General features: G+C 38.6%; 1 protein-coding gene across 14 annotated transcripts in view, besides 1 other annotated feature; it reads right to left on the bottom strand.

Moving 5' to 3' along the window:
• The window catches only part of GRIA1 (glutamate ionotropic receptor AMPA type subunit 1), a 324255-nt gene that overhangs the window by 198896 nt on the left and 102704 nt on the right, over positions 1-22655 (bottom strand). The gene's annotated exons all lie outside the window — the stretch shown is intronic.
• Positions 19950-20039: a silencer, noted in NCBI's record as "silent region_16531". NCBI's record gives its function as "represses an Ori minimal core promoter by ATAC-STARR-seq in GM12878 lymphoblastoid cells {active_cell/tissue: GM12878}" and the evidence as "EXISTENCE:reporter gene assay evidence [ECO:0000049][PMID:35858748]".

The following is a 22655-nucleotide window of genomic DNA, read 5'->3' as shown; positions in this document are numbered from 1 at the left end:
TGTAAACCCACTTGATGTTTCTGGAGAATCTGATTCCTTATCTTAAGGCCTCTTCAATTGACTCTGTATTTTTTCCACCTGCCACTGGGTCCTGCCTGAATCTAAAATAATAATTTCCACTTCACTTCATGATCTATATCACAGCGTCCCTCTCATAGTTCTTATCAGCAATAAATGAATTTGTTAATCTTCTCTTTCTTTCTGCTGCATTCTGGTGGTACCTGAGAGGCTCTCTGTTTGCATAGAAAGAGAAATGGCTTATCAATCAAACAATTTAGGTTTTCAGTTTTGCTACTAATTGATTAAGGTATATTTTTCACTTATTCTCTCAATGAATATTAATGAAGTGCTTAACAGGAGTAGCATGGCCTGGTTGTGGGTTCAGGTTTTGGAGTCAATGCCTGGGTTACAAACAAACTCTGCCACTTTCCAGCCATATAATCTTGGGTGAGTGACTTGACCAGTTTCCTTATTTGCAAAACGGGGATAATAATCACACCTACTTTACGGGATAATTGTTGTAAGTATTAAATGAGTAAATACATATAAAAATCATAGGACACTGTGCCTGGAACTAGCAAGTTTTTAACAGATGTTAGATACTGTCACTTTATGATTGCTAACTATTGTCACTATCAAACACAAGGCACTGTCTATGGCACTGAGGAAACAATTGAGGGGCGGGGAAAACATGGTCTTTGTCCTTATAGGGCTTGTCTTCTAATAAGTGAAGATACATTAAACAACTAAATACCCAAGTAAATACAAAATTACAAATCGTAATAAGTGTCAGAAGAGAAAGGGTGGAAAGTCAGGAGAGGGTGGTATGGTGTGTGATCTAAGAAGTGTCATTTGAGCTGAGACCTAAAGAATAAATAGGAGGTGGAGCAGTGAAGAAGGTGTGTGCACCTATGTATGAAAAACTGTCCGAGCAGCGAGAGAAGCAGGTGTGAAGGCCCCAAGGCAAGGACTAAAGGCCTGTGTGGCTACAGCGTGAAGATTGAAGTGGAGAGGTCAGTGTGAAGACTGAGGTGGAGAGGTGGCTGATGCAGCGGGCAGGGTCCAGGGCGTGCAAGGGCTGATGGGGGACGTGGCACTGGAATGTTTGCCTAAGGGCCAAGGAAAGCCTGGGATGGCACATGGTTTCCTTTCTGGCCTGTTGATTTTCTGAAACTAAAGTGAACGGATTATGTAAATGCCTCTCTCAAGCCCCTTTAACGCTGAAGAATATCAGATTCTATGATGGCTGACAAAAAAAAAAAAGTGGCTGTTTCTGGGAAAAGTGTTAGGTTGGTGCAAAAGCCATTGTGGTTTGTCATTAAAAGTAATGGCAAAATCACAATTACTTTTGCACCAACTTAATAGACTATAAAGGAGAGGAAGAGAGGGAAAAAAAGAAGGGAGAGAGGGAAGTAAGAAAGAAGGAAAGAAGCGGCTAAAACTTCAGTGGAGACATGAAGCCTGGAAATAAAATGTTGAATATTCAACTCAGATACAGACCCAGTACCTATTACATGTATGTGTGTGTAGATGTGCATGACTTATGCAAGTATTTGTATATTCACTGATTTGGCAGGAACCCAAACCATGGAAAACAAATAAGACTAATGGACTGGAAATGATAGAGAGGGGAAAAAATGCTGCATCAATCATTTTGGTTAAATGCATGATTACTGGATATAAAAATGCATCTGGAACTGCTCCTGCCTGAAAGCTGGTGTTGAGGAATTGAAATGCTTGTGGAGGCATGGTTCAGTGTCTCCTTTCAGGAGCCGTTCAGTGGAAATCAAACAGAATTACATTAGGAAAGGAGTGACTGAGAAAGTACTCCCTGGAACAGAAATTTTTATTGGGGGGAGGAAAAGAAAAAGGAGCTTTAGTCCAAAAAGGACCGACTCCAAGAATACCAATTGGTTCCAGCCTTCCAGAGCCCAGAGGAACTTGAGCACTTCTTGCCTTGATATTCAGATGCGCAGTCAAAAGAAGCACACAAGGCAGAGAAAATAAAAAATAAATAAGTGTTCTTCAAACCCAGATTTCTTTTTTTTTTTTCCAGCTGAGTGAGCCTAAGATTTAAGGATTTATGAAGGGGAAGCACACACTGGTCCAACTCTGGAAACACTTTATAATGCTAATACTGCCGCTGGCTCTCAGAACTTGCTGCTGATATGGGTATGTGTGGCTGGGTATCCTACGAAGCTTGCAGCAAATGCTGGGTAAAATACTAAATTGAAGTTCTTCAGTGGAATGGGAAGTAGAAGAAGTCCCTTACGGATTATGCAAAGTTCTTTTCTGATAAGGAAATATCCACTAACAATACATCATATTCTCCTAACTACTTCCCTATTTGCCAGTAGTTCAATTTGCATATGCCTGATTTGAGCTGATAACAGCAGTTGCCATTTATTGGACATTCACAAAATATCTCAGGCACTTAATATGCATTATCCCACTGAATCTTCACAATGCATTGCAAGATAGATTCTAATATCCACCTTGTATACATGAGGAAACAGAGGCTCAGATAAGTTAACTTGCACAAAGGCATAGCCTTCTGGAATTTATGTGCAGATTTGATTTCCAAGCCCATATTTTCTTATATGTGACATGAGGTTGGTTAATAGTATCAACTTCAAATTCTCATGTTCCCAAATTTCCCTTAAGAAGACTGTAGATTCAGCATATTCACTAGTATTTCTGTTTTGTGCACTTTTCTCATTATAGGCACTCTCTCCTTATCCCTTCTCAGCACTCCTATCTATTCAAATATTTTCTCCTATCAGAACCTGTTCTGGGATTATTCATTCCCACCTAGGTGCCAATGGCAGGAAATAGGAATCAATATTTAGCAATAATTCCTTACTTTTCTACAGCTGGTGGTCAAGGACTCACATTTCCCCATCTCACATTTGGAGAGGCAGACAAAGCAAGCATTCTCCCTAGTTTGCAGGTGAGAAACTGAGGCTCTGTTAGGGAGAATGACTTGACCAAGGTCACACGATAAATTAAAAAACAGAGTCATGATTACAAACCTACATCTCCAAAGACCCAGTCTGGCACCTTTTCCAACAGAACACACTGCTTCCCAGAGGAGCTGCAAGCTCAAGGCCAGGCGGAAAACATAAATGAACAAATGAGCCGGTGAGAGAACACCTTTCCCCTGCCAGTGCTCACGTAGCTTTGGCTGAACTTTGTCCACTGAAAAGCAGGTCCAGATCTTCTTTCAACTTAGTTTTTGTTTGTTTGTTTGTTTTTTGAAAGAGAAGGTGAGAATCTGGATTTTTATATGCCATCTTATAATTTTTTAAAAAGCTGCCTCCGACTTTAATTTTAAGTCTTCGTGAGAGCCAACAATTATGCATCTGTGAACCAGAATCACCACTGACCACCAGTTTTCCACCTCTGCCTCAAAACAAAGCAATGATGGAGAGCTTGATTATGGCTGCAGAGATATCTAGCTGGAAGCCCTTTCAGTCACAGGAATATCTACTGCCTGGCAGATCAAAACCTCAATTAGAGAACAGAAAATCATGGAGATGTAAAGTTCTAACCAAAGGAGATTCAGACAGAGATACTCCAGATCCCAGGGGCTAAGAAGATTGTGCCAGTGGTGGGACAGTAAACCAGCTTTCCAGGAAAAAAAGAATGTAGGATTTGCCAGTTTCCATGGTGTAAATATTCCTACCATAGCTAATAACTACTAATGGTTTAACAATCAGTTTGCAAAATTTATGAATATTTAATAATTGGCTCCATATATTTAATAATTGGTACCAGGTCATCATAGTTCAGTCATTCCAAATTGGTTGCATATTATACGTAGTGGCAAGCTTTTTAAAATATAGCTTCCTAGGCCTCACTCCAAATCTACTAAATCAGAATCTCTGTGGGCAAATCCTAGGAGTCTATATTTTCAAAAAGCTTTCTGAAATGAGCAGCAAGATTTGGAAATCCCCATATCCAACTAAGAAAGTTGGACAGCCTGTTTGAACCATCCACCAGGTTGAAGACAGCCTGTTCAGAACTTTAAATGAAAGAGTGCAGAACTGAGATAAGAAATCCAGGGCTTTGAGAGACACACGATAAACGTGTTGAGCATTACTATACAATTATAATACTAAAACAAAATTAATTATAAATAGCTATTTTTATTTGAGTTTTTCCATGTGCCAGACACTGTTCTAGATACTTTATATGCATGACTTTTTAAAATCCTCACAAAAACCCTTGGAGATAAAGTAGCACTTTTACTTCCATTTTATAAATGGGGAAATTGCAACATAGAGAAATTAGATAACTTGCCCAAGGTTACAATGCTAATAAATAGTAGAATAAGGATTGAAATCTAGGCATCTTGACTCTGGAGACTACACTCTCGACCACAATTAGGGGAAGCCCTAAAGGCAGAGATTATTTTGCATAGAGTAGCTATACTCAGAAATTCTTCCTTGAATTAGAGCAAAGGACAGGAGTTCACTTTAAACAACAACAACGATAACAACAAAGACCAAATACTTTTGTCTTCCCCAGGGAATCTGGAAATCTTTGTAGGGTTTTCCTCCATTCCAGTAACTTTCAACAAGGTCTATTCTGAATAATCCAGTCTATGAGCATGTAGATTTCCTGATCACTGAAAGGGAGAGTTGAACATCCTACCTCATTTTCTGTGGTTTGTTTTCATCCTACTTGGATCCCAGAGGGCATTAACACTCCTTATGCTGGCAGTTGCTTTGGAAAGTGGACTTCACACTCCCTGGGAGATACACACTATCTGTTTGTAAGTCACCCTATTTTTAGTCTCCATTCAACACTGTCCTGGTCTCACATCACAACTGAGGCTAGAAATCCAGTTTTCCATTGAAAGGCTCTGCAGTGCAAAGCAGTCTGGCAATCTGTCCTCATAGAGGAGTTCTGGGCCCACTAAATATTTTAGATCTTCCAGGCATGCAGACAGTAGAATGATGCCAACCCCATAGGGGCTTTAGGAGTTCTTCTCTAGCAAAATAATAAAATAGTTAACCTCCATTTACCAACCATATCATGCCAGACTTAGAGGAAAGAAACCTAGGATGATCAAATTGTACCTTATTGGAATATTTAAGAAAAGAGTCTGGGCTGGGCTCGGTGGCTCATGCCTGTAATCCCAGCACTTTGGGAGGCCGAGGCCGGCAGATCACAAGGTCAGGAGATCGAGACCATCCTGGCTAACATGGTGAAACCTCGTCTCTACTAAAAATACAAAAATTAGCTGGGTGTGGTGGTGGGCCATGTAATCCCAGCTACTCGGAAGGCTGAGGCAGGAGAATGACCTGAACCCGGAAGGTGGAGCCTGCAGTGAGCCAAGATTGCTCCACTGCACTCCAGCCTGGGTGACAGAGCAAGACTCCATCTCAAAAAAAAAAAAAAAAAAAAAAAAAAGAAAAGAGTCTGAATCCCAAATGCCAAAGTCACTGGGCTAAGGTGAATGAGAAGGAGGCTAGCTGGACATTGTGGGAGAATGTATTCCTCATATGAAGGGAGAAATCACTGCCTTTTTCAGCCTATTGTGGACATATCTATCATTTTTTTCAAGATCAGGAACAGGACTTCCTCTTGTGTTAATGAAAGACTATGTAATTTGGACGAATACTCCCAATGAGAACAACAAGAAAAGCTGGGCAAAATATTTACAAATCTACTTGAAGATGTAGGAGAGCTAACAAAAGAGCAAAGAATAGCAGGGCTGGGATCTAAGGATGGAGGAAGCCCGGGAGGTAACCTTTGTGTTTGGAGCTGCTTGCACCTTGGGGATATTTACTAATTCTAGAGTAAGCAACTAAACAACTAAGAGGAAGCTCATTTAAGAGCTTGCCAGAAATAGAAAGATGAAATTTGGAGTCCAGGACCAAAATATGGTGATTGCAGTGGGGGAAGCTTGTTAAACCCAACTTTAGGCTGGGACTCAGAAGGGCTGCCCAATAGGAGTAAGGCTGAACTGGAAATAGACAGGTACTAGTAAGGGTTGCAGTGTAGCTTCAAATCATCTCAATCCCTGAAATTGGATTGACCTGATAATGGAGTACTAGTGCAGCAAGCAAACATATATCTACTAGGGAAAAAGATAACATCAGCTTAGGCCTCAAATTATTTCTGCAAAGAAATTTTGCAAATTCAATGTCCAGAACGCAGTAAAAAAAAACTGTTATACAGGAAGATAAGACAACATAAATTAAAATGAACAGAAAAGCAGAGAAAATAGGAATAGACCCACAGGGGCTCAAGATAATAGAGTAATCAGACATTACAGACATAAATTTCATAATCAACTATGCTTACTATCTCCCAGGAGATTAAATGAAGGATTGATAATTTTATCAGAGGACTGAAAACCATGTGAAAGAACCACGAAAAATTTTCCAAAATTGAACAGTATAATGACTGGCATCTAAAATTCAATAGACAGGAACAATGGCAGATTAGGTGCAGCCAAAAAGAGAATTAGCAAACATCAAGATAGATCAGAAGAATATAACAGGATTGAAACATATAAAGAGAAAATGATAGAAAATATGGAAAAGAATGTGGGTTACAGTGAAACACCTTAACATCATTGTAAATGAAATTTCATAAAGTGAAAAAAGAAGGACACATAAATGATGTCTGAAGAATTAATTGCCAAAAGCTCTCCAAACCTGACAAAAGACATCAAGACACAAATTTGAGAAGTCCAATGTACCCAAATGATGTTAAATTAAAAAAAAGAATCGCAACTAACCAGAATATTGCAAAATTGCTGAAAACCAAAGACAGTAACTCTGTACCTGGAAGTGGGGCAAAGGCAGACAGATTACTGTCAAAAGATCAACAATAAAGCAGACAGCTGACCCTTCACAAGAAACAACTAAATTACATCTTTAAAGTGCTGACAGAGAATAACTGTGATGTAGACTACATATCCAACAAAAACTTTTTTCCATAGAGAATGTAAAATAAAGACATTTTGATGCAAAGAAAAAGAAAAAAAATTGTCAACAACAGACCCACACTAATGGAAATACAGAATGATATTATTCACAAAGAAGGAAAATTATTCCAGATGGAAACTTTGAGATAACAAATAGAATAAAAGGTAATAAAAATTATAAATATATGGGTAAATATAAATAATGCTGACTGAATAAAAGAGCAGCAACAACAATAATACCATATTGTCGACTGTAAAAATATAAAAATTATGCAACAATAATAACATGTACATTAGCAGTTAAATAAATAAAACTAAGTATTCAAGGTCTTTGTACCATCTGGGAAAAGGGTGTAAGTGGCAATTACAATAACATTTGATATGCCAAGAATGAATGTTGCAATCATCAGTGTAAGCACTAGAAGAACAGTTAAGGGGTGCCTAATATTCAAATTAATACAGGAGTAAAAAGTCAAAAAAATTTAAAATTTAGTAAATCTGAAACAAGCCAAGAAAATAGTGATGTGGTTAAGTCTATCTTTAGAGAGAAATGCAAGGCTTTACAAATGCATATATTAGAAAAGAAGAAAAGATATGAAAAAAATCAATGAACCAAGCATCCATTTTAAGAAGTCAGGAAAAAGCCCTGCAAATTAAACATAGAAAAGAAGAAGTAAATAAAGTGTAGAAGTTAATGAAATAAATGTACAATAGACAAGATAAACAAAGTCAAAACCAACCCCTCAATAATTTGAGAGAAAATATGAGAGCAACCAAGCAAAAAATCCACCAATGTCAATAGTATAGAAGGTGAGATTATAAATCTACCCAGAGGAAAACAAGTCATTATATGAAAAAGATACTTGCACATGCATGTTTATAGCGGCACAATTTACAATTGCAAAAATGTGAAACCAATGCAAATGCCCATCAATCAACGAGTGGATAAAGAAACTGTGATTATATATATATATATATATATATATATCTTTTGTGATATGTTTATATCATTCTTTTAAAGAATGGGAAGAGGGAGCACTGCCTTATTTTCCTCCTGAGGTCAGCATAACCTGAATACCAAATTGAACAAGGGTATTGTAAGAAAAGAAAATTACACATACTTTATTATTTCATAATCAGGATGAAAAACATCTTAAAGTACTAACAAACTGAATAAGGAGATATTATGGTCAAGTTGGCAAGGAAAAAATAATACTCTCATTACCCATAAATGACATGACTGTATTCACAGAAAGAAAAACTGTAGAAAAAAGTGAATTTAGCAAGGTCACGAGACATAAAATCAATATAAAATTAATCATTTGTATTTCCATTTACCAGCGCCAAACAATTATGACATAATATTTTAAGAACACTTTTTATAATATCAAAAAACATTGAATACCTACAAAATAAATCTAACAAAAGATCTGTACTGAAAACTACAAAATATTACTGAAAAAAATAAAAGAAGATCTTAATAATTGAAGCAATATACTATGCTCTGGGATTTGAAGACTCAATATTGTAAAGATATCAACTCTCCCAAACTGATTGTAATTAAATTATATCCCAATTAGAATTTCTGTAGGTTTTATTTGGAATGTGACATGCTGGTTCTAAAATTTGTATGTAAATGTAAAGGTCTAATAATAGCCAAAACAATTTTGAAAAAGGGGAAAAGCTTCCTGTTCCAGATACAAAGGCTCAGTTTAAATCTAAGTACCTGAGAAATAAACAAACCAGTGGAACAGAAAAGAAAGACCAGAAGCAGAACCAGACATACTTGGTCACTTGATTTATGACCAAGATGCCACTGAAGTTTAGTGGAGAAAAGGTGATCTTTTCAATAAATGATGCTGACAACTGGATATCTATGTAGAAAAATTGATTCTAGACCCCTATACTATACCCTAAATAAAAATCAGTACCAGATGGATCATTAATTTAAGTGGAAAAACATAAGGCCACCAAAAGTTAATATAGAAGAATATATTCCTGATCTCAGGGTAGGAAAAGTTTTCCTAAACAAAATATAAAACCATCCATAAGGAAGAAACTGATAAATTGGACTGCATTCAAGTTAACAGTTTCTGTCCTGCACAGCAAGAGATACCATTAAGAGAGTGAAAATGCAAGCTATGGAAAGGAAGAAGATATTTGCAACATACACATTTGACTGAAGGCTCACATTTAGAATACCTAAAATCAATTTTTAAAAAAGGTATTAACTGTTATCACTTAAAAAAGCATATCAGCATTTCAATAAGCACATGAAATGAAGTTAAAACTCACAAATAATCAAGAGAAATACAAATTAAAATCACAATGAGTTATCACTACACCCCCACCAGGAGGGCTAAAATTAAAATGACTTACAATCCCAAGTGTTTGAGAGAATTTGGAGCAATGGGAATTGTCACATATTGATGGTGGGAGTGTAAATTGGTACAGCTACTTTGAAAAACTATTTGGCAGTATCTATTAAAGCTGAACATTCACATAACACTCCCAGGTTTATATCCAACAAAAAATATGTGCACATGTGCACCCAGACACATATACAAGAATATTTATAGACTCATTATTCAAAAGTGTAAACGGCCCAAATGTCCATCAAGAGTAGAATTATGGATGAATAAATTTTGGCATACTCATACAATAGAATCCTATACAGGAATGAAAATGAGTAAACTACACCTATCTACAATCATGAGGATGAATCCTATGAGTGTTATATTAAGCAAACGTAAACAGATACACACATAAATACATACTGGATGCTTATTGAAATGTTGATGTGCCTTTTTAAGTGTTAATAGCTCATCTCTTTTTTTTTTTTTTGAGACAGAGTCTCACTCTGTCACCCAGGCTGGAGTGCAGTGGTGCAATCTTGGCTCACTGCAACCTCCACATCCTGGGCTCAAGCGATTCTCCTGTCTCAGCCTCCCTAGTAGCTGGGATTACAGGTGTGCACCACCAGGCCTGGCTAATTTTTGTATATTTAGTAGAGACGGGGTTTTGCCGTGTTGGTCAGGCTGGTCTCAAATTCCTGACCACTGCGCCTGGCCACCTTTTGCCTGTTTTTCTACTTGGTTGTCTCTCCTCTTTTTAAACTGATTTTAGGTATTCTAAATGTGAGTGTTCCTTTCTGTAGCTTGCATTTTCACTCTCTTAATGGTATCTCCTGCTTTATAGGACAGAAACTGTTAACTTTAATACAGTTCAATTTATCAGTTTCTTCCTTATGGATGGTTTTATATTTTGTTTAAGAAGATTTTTCCTACCGTGAGGTCAGGAGTATATTCTGAATTCCAAAATGTAGACAAAATTAAACTCTAACATTTAGAAATGCATGCTTAGGTGGTAAAGTTCTAAAGAAAAACAAGGATGTTATGATGAATCCCGATAGAGGTTCTGTTTGGAGAGACAGTGTATAGAGCTAGGGATGGGCACAAGAGCATTCCTGGGGGCTGACAACGCTACAATTCTTGACTTGGCTGAGTGTTACCTTTGTGATAAAACAGTGTGCTATATAGTTTTGCCTTGAGTATGTAGGTCAGATTAAGAAAGTTAAAAGTAAGTGAGAAGACAGAAACCTAGATTTTCAAATGAAATTCTTGTATTTTGAAAGGTTAGCAACTGTTTTTTTTAACAAATTAGAATTCTGTTTGGGCCACACATATTTCATCCATGAACTATGATTTTGTAACCCTTGAAGGTAACTCACGTGTTTGATTAGGAAGTTACAGGCACTGGGTGTGGTTTCATTCTGAGGCAAGAGCTTGGCAAAGTTAGGGGTCACCCACTTTATTTGTATATAGAGACTAAAACAGGTGAAATTCTCTTTCTCCCATCTCTTCCTCTTCCCCCCACCCCTCTAATTGGTAGCAAACTCCTGAAGTAAAGCTCCAGGGAGAAATTTTAGAACTTGTTTCTGTTATTGCTGTGTATGATAGTAACATTACAAAAATGAAATAAGACTCATTCTGAAGCTTCCAAGGCATATTGGAGATTATAAACTAGATCATAAATGTATGTAAATATATATAGGTATGTAAAATACATGTATATGTATAGTAATAGTATTACCATTTATGGAGAGCTTACTATATATCCAATCCTGTACTAAAATCTCTGCTTATCATTTAATCATCACAACATCCCTGTGGTATGGGGAATTATTGGACCTGTCACACAGATGAAAGTTGAGGCTGGACAAATTAGGTCCCATGCCCAAGAACGTAGCTAGGCGGTGGCAACTGGCAAAGACATGATCAGTCCCTTCTTGTTCACTCAGCCTGTCCTTTACTAACCATGACACCACATTGGTGAGGCCACTACTCCTAATATAAGATATACAGACACTTTTCCAGAGTGTCCTAGATCTTCTAGAGCAGAGATGTCGATATTTACATATTCGGTATGAAAATAGGCTCCAGCTTCTCAAGCCTTTACTACCTTAGGCACTCAATAAATACTGGTAACTGTTTTTTTTTAATTATTATTATACTTTAAGTTTTAGGGCACATGTGGCGATTCCTCAGGGATCTAGAACTAGAAATACCATTTGACCCAGCCATCCCATTACTGGGTATATAGCCAAAGGGCTATAAATCATGCTGCTATAAAGACACATGCACACGTTATGTTTATTGTGGCACTATTCACAATAGCAAAGACTTGGAACCAACCCAAATGTCCAACAATGATAGACTGGATTAAGAAAATGTGGCACATATACACCATGGAATACTATGCAGCCTTAAAAAATGATGAGTTCATGTCCTTTGTAGGGACATGGATGAAATTGGAAATCATCATTCTCAGTAAACTATCACAAAGACAAAAAACCAAACACTGCATGTTCTCACTCATAGGTGGGAATTGAACAATGAGAACACATGGACACAGGAAGGGGAACATCACACTCTGGGGACTGTTGTGGGGTGGGGGGACAGGGGAGGGATAGCATTAGGAGATATACCTAATGCTAAATGACAAGTTAATTGTAATTGTTATATACTGTTCATCTTCCTAGTTTCCCTGGGACCCATGGTATAAGCTTAGCATGATTAAACAAAGCTCAGATCAATATCTATGACAGTTTACCAGCCTGAAGACAAAGGGCACGAGGGACAGAAAGAAAAGAACTTAAGGGTTGTGACTATTAGATAGCTAAGGACAATACTGGCCAAACAGTGGATGTTCAAGAAATTCAGAAAATGAAAACACTTTGGCCTTGGAAAAGACTGCTAGAGAGAGTCTGTTCCCCTTCCTCCATCGTAGAGATGTGGGAACTGTAGCCCAGGGCTGTAGGAGGTACTGGGGTAAAGTGGCAACTAGCTAGCAACGATGGCTGGACTTTGGGCAAATTACTTTATCTTTTTTGGCTTCATCATCTATCAAATGGGAGTGTTAGAATAGAACATTGCTGTCTAAGAGCAATTCAAGCTATATAGTGTCTTTTTCTTATTTTATTTTCTTTTATTTTATTATTATTATACTTTAAGTTATAGGGTACATGTGCACAATGTGCAGGTTAGTTACATATGTATACATGTGCCATGCTGGTGTGCTGCACCCATTAACTCGTCATTTAGCATTAGGTATATCTCCTAATGCTATCCCTCCCCACTCCCCCCACCCCACAACAGGCCCCAGTGTGTGATGTTCCCCTTCCTGTGTCCATGTGTTCTCATTGTTCAATTCCCACCTATGAGTGAGAACATGCAGTGTTTGGTTTTTTGTCCTTGTGATAGTTTACTGAGAATGATGATTTCCAATTTCATCCATGTCTCTACAAAGGACATGAACTCATCATTTTTTAAGGCTGCATAGTATTCCATGGTGTATATGTGCCACATTTTCTTAATCCAGTCTATCATTGTTGGACATTTGGGTTGGTTCCAAGTCTTTGCTATTGTGAATAGTGCTGCAATAAACATAAGTGTGCATGTGTCTTTATAGCAGCATGATTTATAGTCCTTTGGTATATAGTGTCCTTTTCAAAATAAGTCTTAACTGCAATGCTGACATGACACAGACAATGGAGGGCACAGCTAAAGAAGTGAGGATGAGAGAACAACTTTGTCCTATTGTTCCTCCTTCTCCTTTCTAGCAGCCCTGGAGGCATCTCCTGGCCAATACTAGGCACATAGCAAGTTCACAATGAATATTTGCAGAATAAGTTGTGAACTCTATAATTCTGTACAGCATAATTGATAACAATCTGCATTAGGACTCTCTAAGGTCCCTTACAATTCAAAAACTTCAGTCATCTAAGGAACCTGCCTGAAATCATCCTGTGAACAAGGTGGGGTTGCAAACTGGCTCTCCCATCTCACATTTCAGGCTCCTAGAATTTGTTCTCTGGCCACTTGGCCATGAACTAGTTTACTTAGGAGCTTTTCAGCTCAGCCCTAACAATCTGGTGTTGAATAGAGAGGTGTTTTCCGCTCTGATTTAATTTTCACTTTTGCTTTTAGACATGGGCACTGAGGACATGAAACTCACACATGTGAGAGTATATGAACCTTAATCCCAAGACCTTCATGTCCCAGCAAAAGGTCAGAAACCAAAAATGCCTTCATCTTTAGCAGTGAGATTATAAAACAGCAGGGCTGTAAGATATTAAAAAAAGTCTCTTTGTGAAGTATGTGGGCTTTAGTGCACTTTTCTGGAAATAAGAAGTTAAAAAGTAAGAATATGGATCACAGAATCAGACAGACTTGGTTTAAATATTTACCACTTATGAGTTATGAGATCTTAGGTAAGATTCCAAACTCTTTGAGGTTTTGGCTTCTTGCTTGTAAAATGGGGATAACAGCATCTCTTATCTCATGGAGACATAGGAAGCAAAATACTTAAAGTGCTAAACACAGGGTCTGGCACCAGCATGTGCTCAGTCGGTGTTAGCTGTTTATCATCATTCTGTTCATCCAGCGAATGAATGAATTTTCTTGACAATGTCCCTGCAAAGTGGTCCTCTACTTGAAAACTTCCAGTGAGAGGAAGTTTCTACCTCAGGAGGAATCCACTTCATCATCAAGCATCTGATCAGCTCAGACTTCCACCTTCCTCATGAGATAAAGAAGTGCCCCGAGGCTAGGATGCTCCAGGTGGGATCCCAAGATGTGATGCTGCTCTGACAGCTGAAGCTACAGTTAAACTTGAAATAAACAGAAGGCTTCACCTCCCAGGTCTTTTGGGTTGGCAATCTCTGTGCAAAGCTCATTTAATTCAAGTTCCCAGGCTGTGAGACATAAGGAAACTCTGAAATCAATTTTTAGCAGCAAGGTTCCATGGTGGTAGACGTGTCTCTGCTTCTTCTCCCAGTTTCCCTTTGGCCCCCCAGCCTGGCAAGAAACAGACAGGCACTTCTCCTCTTTGGTCTCCCTGGGATGTTCATTTTTCACTCTGAGGCTTGAGATCACCATTTTCTATGTATGTAGGTGCTTTGGGTATAGTGGTCTGAAATTTCAGGTGCCTCCTTTGACTTTCCACAGTCAAAAACCTGGGTGGAAAAGCGCTATTTCTTTCCTAAATAAATTCTGGATTTGAGGGCATTTCTCTTTTTCTACTGATTGAAACCTATCCTTACAAACTCCATACTTTTTTTTTTTTTTTTTTTTTTTTTGAGATGGAGTCTCGCTCTGTCGCCCAGGCTGGAGTGCAGCGGCGCGATCTCGGCTCACTGCAAACTCCGCCTCCTGGGTTCACGCCATTCTGCTGCCTCAGCCTCCCGAGTATCTGGGACTACAGGCGCCCGCCACCACGCCCAGCTAGTTTTTTTGTATTTTTAGTAGAGACAGTGTTTCACCATGTTAGCCAGGATGGTCTCAATCTTCTGACCTCGCGATCCACCCGCCTCGGCCTCCGAAAGTGCTGGGATTACAAGCGTGAGCCACCGCGCCGGGTCCAGACTCCATACTTCTATTACAAACAGGAAGAGATGGCTCTCACTGTAGACTCTCTGACGACCGGCGCTATTTGGCAACAAGGTGCGCAGTGCCTCCGTGTCCACCTTATCTAGCGGGCTTCATCTCCCTGCACACACTTTAGTCAAGCCGACAGCCTTCTTCCTTTCCCCTGTGACTCCACCATGTACCTCAGGACTTTTACTTATGCTATTTCTCAGGCACATTTTTCTTTTCCCCTCCCTTCATTTACTTCAAAGTCCCATTTTCTCTGGATCTTTAACTATCTATGATCTTGGCCCTTCCTGACCACCCAGAATAAATCTCTATATTATAGAGTTAGTCGTTTAAGTCTTCTCAACTGGTGACAAACTCACTGGCGGGCTTGCACCACTCTCAAATAATTTGAGTACAGTTGCCCCTCTGTATCTGTGGGTTCTACGTTTGCAGATTCACAACTGCAGATTGAAAATATTAAAAATAAAATTAACAACATAACAATCAAAATAATAAAGTGTGGCAGCTATTTACATAGTATTTACATTGTATTAGGTATTATAAGTAATATAGAGATGATTTAAAGTATGTGAGAGGATGTGCCTAGGTTATGTGCAAACACCACGCCATGTTATATAAAGGACTTAAACATACCTAGATGTTGGTTATCTGTAGGAGTCCTGGTACCAAACCCCTGTGGATATCAAGGGATTGCTGTACTGTCTAAGTGCCATCAGCAAGATTGTGATCTTTTAGGATAAGTATTGTGAATTAAACTTCTTTCATACTTTCTAAAGTGCTTAGCCTAGAAGATGCTCAGTAAACTTTCTGGACAAAATAATCTAGTTGAGGTAATAAAAAGTGTCAAACTAGAATTAGCAATGGACTTCAATCAGCCAAAAAGGAAGGAAATTATATAAAATCAACAGCCCTGGCCGGGTACAGTGGCTCATGCCTGTAATCCCAGCACTTTGGCAGGCTGAGGTGGGTGGATCACGAGGTCAGGAGATCGAGACCATCCTGGCTAACAGGGTGAAACCCCATCTCTACTAAAAATACAAAAAAACTAGCCAGGCGTGGTGGCGGGCGCCTGCAGTTCCAGCTGCTCGGGAGGCTGAGGCAGGAGAATGGCATGAACCTGGGAGGTGGAGCTTGCGGTGAGCCGAGATTGTGCCACTGTACTCCAGCCTGGGTGACACAGAGAGATTCTGTCTCAAATAAAATAAAATACAATAAAAAACCTAAACAAAATAGCCCCACTCCACGGAAGCTTTATTAAACCTAAATTATTGAATGTTAGTGAGAAAAAAAAGCTGCCGTGGTTTAACCTTCATTTTATTCTGTTAAAGTATCATTGGACAGATAGATTGTAGATTTTCAGTGGACCATATCATAAACTCAAGAGCCCAATAAATATTGGCTATAAGGAAAGGAAGAAACAAGAAATTCCTAAGAAGGAAATACAGATCCAAAGGCAGTTAAGGAAGGCAGTTAAGGGAGGCTAATAAGTAAGATTGTCAAACTCAGTTCTCCACGAGACCACCTTAGGATCTGAGTCCTTCCCTCACCTCTGCTGCTTGGCATTCAAGGCTTTCCAGATTCTAAGCATAAACTGCTTTTCCACCTTATCTATTATATTTTTCTTACTTTTTCCCCTGTGTAACTGCAAATGGATTGTCTGGTGTTCCTAAAATATACTTTTAATTTGGTGCTAGTCTCTTTGCTTTTATTTTTCCCTTTCCTCTAATAGGTACTAAACTCAACCCATAATTTAACTGAACCCAGTCAGGTGCTTCCTTTCTGAAACCATCAGAATCAAATCAAAGGTAACAGCACTGACAGGATGTGCTCTTCCTATTCTTGCATTCTCCCTCCCCCAAGTAGTTTGAGTATACTACTTTGACAAGACTTAGTATATTTGATTATATATATAATTGCCATAATATATAATAACATGTGATAGTATATTATTATATAAAATATCCACTATATATAATCATTATACATATAAAATCACATTTATACAATGGTCATTATATATGTAATCTGTTATTTACATGTCATTCTCTAGATCTGCTTCTAAACTGTGATCTTCTTCTTTTTGAGACTGAGTTTCACCTTGTCACCCAGGCTGGAATGTAGTGGCATGAACATGGCTTACTGCAGCCTTGACCTCCTAGGCTCAAGCAATCCTCCCAACTCAGCCTCCTGAGTAGATGGGACTACAGGTACATGCCACAGCACCAGGCTAATTAATTTTTTTTTTTTTTTTAGAGACGGGGTCTTGCCATGTTGCCCAGCCTTGTCTTGAACTCCTAGGTGTAAGTAATTCTCCTGCATTTATCTCCCAAAGTGCTGGAATTACAGGCATAAGCCACTGGACCCAGCTAGACTGTGATTTTCTTGAGGGCAAGTATGGTTTTTTAGCCATCTTGGTATTTCCTTTGGCACTCAGAAATAGCAAAGTTTATTCAATAATAGGTAAAACTAATGTTAATATTTTAAGAGTGCTTCTATGTACTAGGGACCATTGCATTATCTCACTGAATACTCAATCATCCTCTGAAGCAAGAACTCATTGCTTCTTTTTAGATGAGAAAAGTGAGGCTCCTAGGCTTTAAATAACTGGTCTGAGGCCACATAGATGTGAAATGAAGCAACCAGAATACAAACCCTGGCAGTCTGCCTATAGAACCTGAGTTCTTGAAAAAGATTTGGTGATCCCCTAATTGGGCCACAAACCTAGAAAGAAGAATAACATGCAAAATTGCAAAATGGGGTGCAGGATCCATGGCACAGACCTTCAGAGATCCTGCCTCTGAAAGTCTCAATAACCAATTCATATTCAGGTAGTCCCTGAACGTACTAAGAGTTGAAGTATACAAAGGAAAAGAGGGAAAGTGAGTTCTAAGGACCAAATTTCTATTGACCAAAGCGCCCCTTCAAAACAGGGCTTAAGGCTCTGCAGAGCTGAAATGTTCAAAACCGTCAGTCTCCCGCAGAGTGAACCCTTCAAAGGACCTTAAAGAAGCTTTCCTGGTGGTGTTTGCTTGCTCTCTCTGCTTCATTCCTAGCAGAGGAGGCTGCAGACAGCCAAGTGTGCAGAATGCCTGGGGAGGCCACGGGACCGGGTGAGCTCAGACCATTCCCAGAGACCCTACGTCCACCTCTTGCCTGACCCATCAGCCTGTATGACAGCTGAGTGGCACTAGCACCGGCTTGCCGGTGGGACCAGCTTTAGCAAACAAATATGATTTTTCATTAAACAACTTGTTCAACTAGCAAAGATTAGTGGTGCAGAATCCCCTCTTCCTGGAAAAGGAAGGAGAATAACTGGCAACCCATTTTAATCTCTAAGGCTGAGATATTACATTTCATTTGAGAAGGGAGAGTAAGGACACCAGAGACCTAACAAACCACAACACTGAGTTTTTAGAGTCTCCATCTCTCCTGCCTCTCCTCCACCCAGCTTTTCCAGCGTCAGAACAGGGGCTCCAAGTTGATGAACAGAGCCTTGGATTTGGAGTCAGGAGTGCTGAGTTCTAGATCCACCTCTCCCATTTGTACCTGTGCAACCTCCTGAAAATCAGGGGCCTCCATTTCCCCATCTGCAAAATGGAGCTCTATGTAATACCTGTTGTAACTGCCTCTTTCACAGGCCTGCTGTGGGGATCAGTGAGCCAGTGTATAAAGGGGTTTTGTCAGCTGGAAGCCACAATGTATAAACAATGGAATTGTTTGTTGGATTTTGAAATGTACATGTGGACAGAGCCGAAAACCAAATATGAACAAAAATAAAGTGGCTGGATCTTGCATACATTTTTCAAAGAAAAGTGAATTTTAAGATGCTTCTGATTTGATAATTTTTAAACATTCCAAAAAGAATAGATGCATACTTGTTATACCCTGTGTGGTTAAAAGACTCTCTCATTTCACTCTGTCTAAATCATTCCCAGCCTTTTCTGGGATGCCAGCCATGATGGATGCATCCAAATTGATCACTCAGGCCATGAAATCTGTCACTCTTAAACTATGAAAATGACATAATTTGCTACTTAGTGACAGTGTTGACCTGTTTTTTTTTTTATTGTCTATATATGTGTATTTCCCTAATAAGGTTATAGTCCTTGAGGGAGCTTTTATGCATCTATGTGACCTCTCATGGAACATGACACTGGGAATTTAGAAATGACTGAATATATATTTAAAAGCACTAAGTTAGCCAAAGAAGTATTTAGTGTTCCAATCCTATGTGCCTGCCCAGCATTCTGTGTCTAGCACTTTGTTAGTTAGTAAAGGACTAAAGAACTATTTCTAAGATGTAGACCGTATTTACATTATATTATATATATTAATTATATATATATTATATTATATTATTTAACTCATATCTTGCTTTTTAGATAAAGGTTTACAATTAAAAAGCATTTCACAATGTGAGCAATAAAATAAATGAAATGGTATTGAATTATAACCCAAAGTATAAAATAGATATCCTTGAATCCATATTGATATAAATAAATGACTGGATATGTAAATAAATAGTGAGAAGAAACAAATTTCCCAGTCAGAATAATTTGAAATAATTTACATAGACACTCTGCCCTCAAAGAGGTAGAGTGTAACTCATCACTTCTTAAATGTAGACTGGACATAGTGACTTCTTTCCAAAGAGCTAGCTAAACAAGTATTTAGTGTTAGTTAATAATAATGTATTAGTATTAGTATTGGTTCATTAACTGTGACAAATGCACCACACTAATGTAAGATTTTAATCATAGGGGAGAAAAATGGAGCACAGAGTATTTGGGAACTCTCTGAACTAACCTTGTGAACTTTCTGTAAATCTAAAACTACAATAAAAGTTTATTTTAAAAATTACAGTTTCACAACACTGTGTCTGATGCATGTGATGTGGAACATACATGCTTATCTTTGCTATCTCCCCCAAACTCACATAAATCACAGCAAAATAATAAAATAGGTGTGAATATACAGATCAAAGAGAAACTTAAAAGAGGGAAGAGAAGACAAAGGAAGTACAACATCTGAAGGATGGAGAGTGGATGAAGGTAACTGACTTAGCAAGGTGAAGAAAGCTGAAATAACCATCTGTGAAGAGGAAGTGAGTAGAGTCAATAAGAAGAAAGCCATAAAACCACAGATCACAAGAAAGGTGTAAAAATATGAAGCACTGGATACTTTGAAGTCTGAGGTATGGGATGGGGTAAAACCTGGTGGAAAGCCCCAGAGCCCCTGCCCTAGCCTATGCAGCCAGGTAATCCCTCTTTTTCAGCCAAGCAGAAGACTGGGGGTGGACTCTGAAGAAGACAAAGTATTTAGACTCTAGGTTAGGATCACCAGGTATAGCTGAGAATAAGGGAGAGGACACTTACTGGCCATCTTCCTACTTGCATGCAGAAGAGCCCATTGGCTTTGTGGTACTTATAAGAGCAGATAGTCAAGGGCCTCTAAATATGGAGGAGGGAGAGGGAGAAATTAAAATTAACAAGCAAATGAATGAAAATAAATCATGGGAAACAAGCACAATTTAGGGACCAAAAGAACACATTAAAAAAACATACACTCATTCTAGAGTATGAATAGAATGCTATAATGAAGGAAAAATCAAAAAGCAAAAAAGAACTCTAGGAAGTTAATGCAGTAGATAAATATATTAGTTGACAAAAATACTGAAAGACGAAGTTGAAGGTATCACCCAAAAAATAAAATAAAAGTCAAAGAAATAGAATCTTGGAAGCCTAACATATGGAACTGCAAATGAAAGAGCAGAAATGAAGGCAAGGATGATATCAAATAAATTACAAAAGAAAATCTCTTAAAACTGAAGGGTCTGAGTCTTCAGGTGGAAAAAGCTTACAGAATGTCTTTCTAGCCCCATGAATGACCTGTGAATTAAAAAAGGCGATTGTCTTGAAGTTAGAACTTTAGAGACAAAAAGATAATCGTAACAGCTTCTGGAGGAGGAGAAGGGACAATAAATCCCAAACAAAGAAGGAGCATGCAGAATAACATTGGACTTTTTAATCAGCCACAATGGAAAAAAGAAGATAATGAAATAATGTGTGCAAAATTCTGAATAAAAATTATTTCCAAGCTTGCATTTCATCTCCAATCAATGAAGTTTAAGAGTGGAATAAAAACTATTTCAAATATGCAAGATCTAAAAATTTACCCTCATGTTGTCTTTCTTAAGAAACTACGGGAAAATGCATTCTGCCAAAATGAGAGCATAACTGGTAATGAGGAAGAATGAGATATAGAGAATAGGAGAGCCTGAACTAGCGAAAAGTGTTGGTCCCAGGAAGATAGCTCTCCTGCAGGTCACAGCAGCAACCAGGTCAGGCTTCAGCTGAATGGGGCTCCCAGAGGAAGGTCTCTGGGAAAACCATGCAACTGAGAGATCATCTCACACTCCTGATTGTAACTGGGAGGAATTCTGTGGTTTGCTCAGAAATTTTGGATCTGAGTCAATGATAAAATATGCAGAATAAAATAAACAAAGCAAGCAAGCAAGCAAACAAACAAAAAACAATAAAGCAGAAACACAAAAAGTTTAAGAGTGTGCTATTTGGCTTGGTTGTGAAGGTATTTATTTAGTCATCATAACGTAAATACTGAATATTAATTTAATATTCTGCATCTGCCATAGTACAGTCAAAAACTAATATCTAAAATTGAAAAATCAGGAAACGGCATTGCTATGGACTCCATGTTTGTGCCCCCTACACAAATTCATAAGTTGAAACCCTAATCTCTAGTGGGATAGGATTAGAAGATGGAGTCTTTGGGGGGTAATCAGATTTATTATTATTTTTTATTTTTTTGAGATGGAATTTTACTCTGTCACCCAGGTGGGAGGGCAGTGGCGTGATGTCAGCTTACTGCATCCTCCACCTTCCAGGCTCAAGTGATTCTCATGCCTCAGCCTCCCGAGTGGCTGCGACTACGGGCATGTGTTACCAAGCCAGGCTAATTTTTTGTATTTTTAGTAAAGACAGGGTTTTGCCATCTTGGCCAGGTTGGTCTCCAACTCCTGACCTTGAGCAATCCACCCACCTCGGCCTCCCAAAGTGCTGGGATCACAGGTGTGAGCCACTGCGCCTGGCAGTTAATCAGATTTAGAAGAGGTCACGAGGGTGGAGCCCCATGATGAGACTCTAAGAAGAGAAAGAGACTCAATTTCTCTCTCTCTCTCCTCTCTCTTTCATGCAAAGATGCAGCAAGAAGGTGGCCATCTGTAAACTAGGAAGCAGGTCTTTGCCAAGACCCAAATTGGCCTCACATTGATCTTGTACTTCCCAGCCTCCAGAACTGAGAAATAAACATCTTTTGTTTAAGCCACCCAGTCTATAGTATTTGTTATAGCAGCCCAAACCAGAACAGGCAATACAAGAGATACAAAGGTAAAATATCAGAAGAAACAGCTAAGAGAGCCTAAAGTGATCCCCTATGAGAGCTGGAATCCAAGATAGAAAGGGAGGAGGGAAGAGAATGTTGAATTTTGTCTTATGACTTGAAGTAACATTTGATTTTGTAAGTTATACATGCATTATTTAGGGAGAAAAAATAAATTAAAAATGTCCTTGTCCTACCAACTAGTGATGAGAAAAATCTCCTTTTTACACAAGAGGAAACTGAGGATACAAGAGATAAAGTGATATGCTCAAAACCACAAAGAGACCACGGCACAGACAGGACTAGAATCTGGGTCTCCTGACTCCCAAACCTGGACTCTGCTAACTCTAGAGGAAGCTGGAAGTAGTAGAATTCAT

This window comes from Homo sapiens, chromosome 5 (genome assembly GCF_000001405.40).
Source record: "Homo sapiens chromosome 5, GRCh38.p14 Primary Assembly".
Classification (NCBI taxonomy): Eukaryota; Metazoa; Chordata; class Mammalia; order Primates; family Hominidae; genus Homo; species Homo sapiens.
The sequence above is the reverse complement of the archived record's forward strand: the minus strand, read 5'-3'. Positions and strand labels throughout refer to the sequence as shown.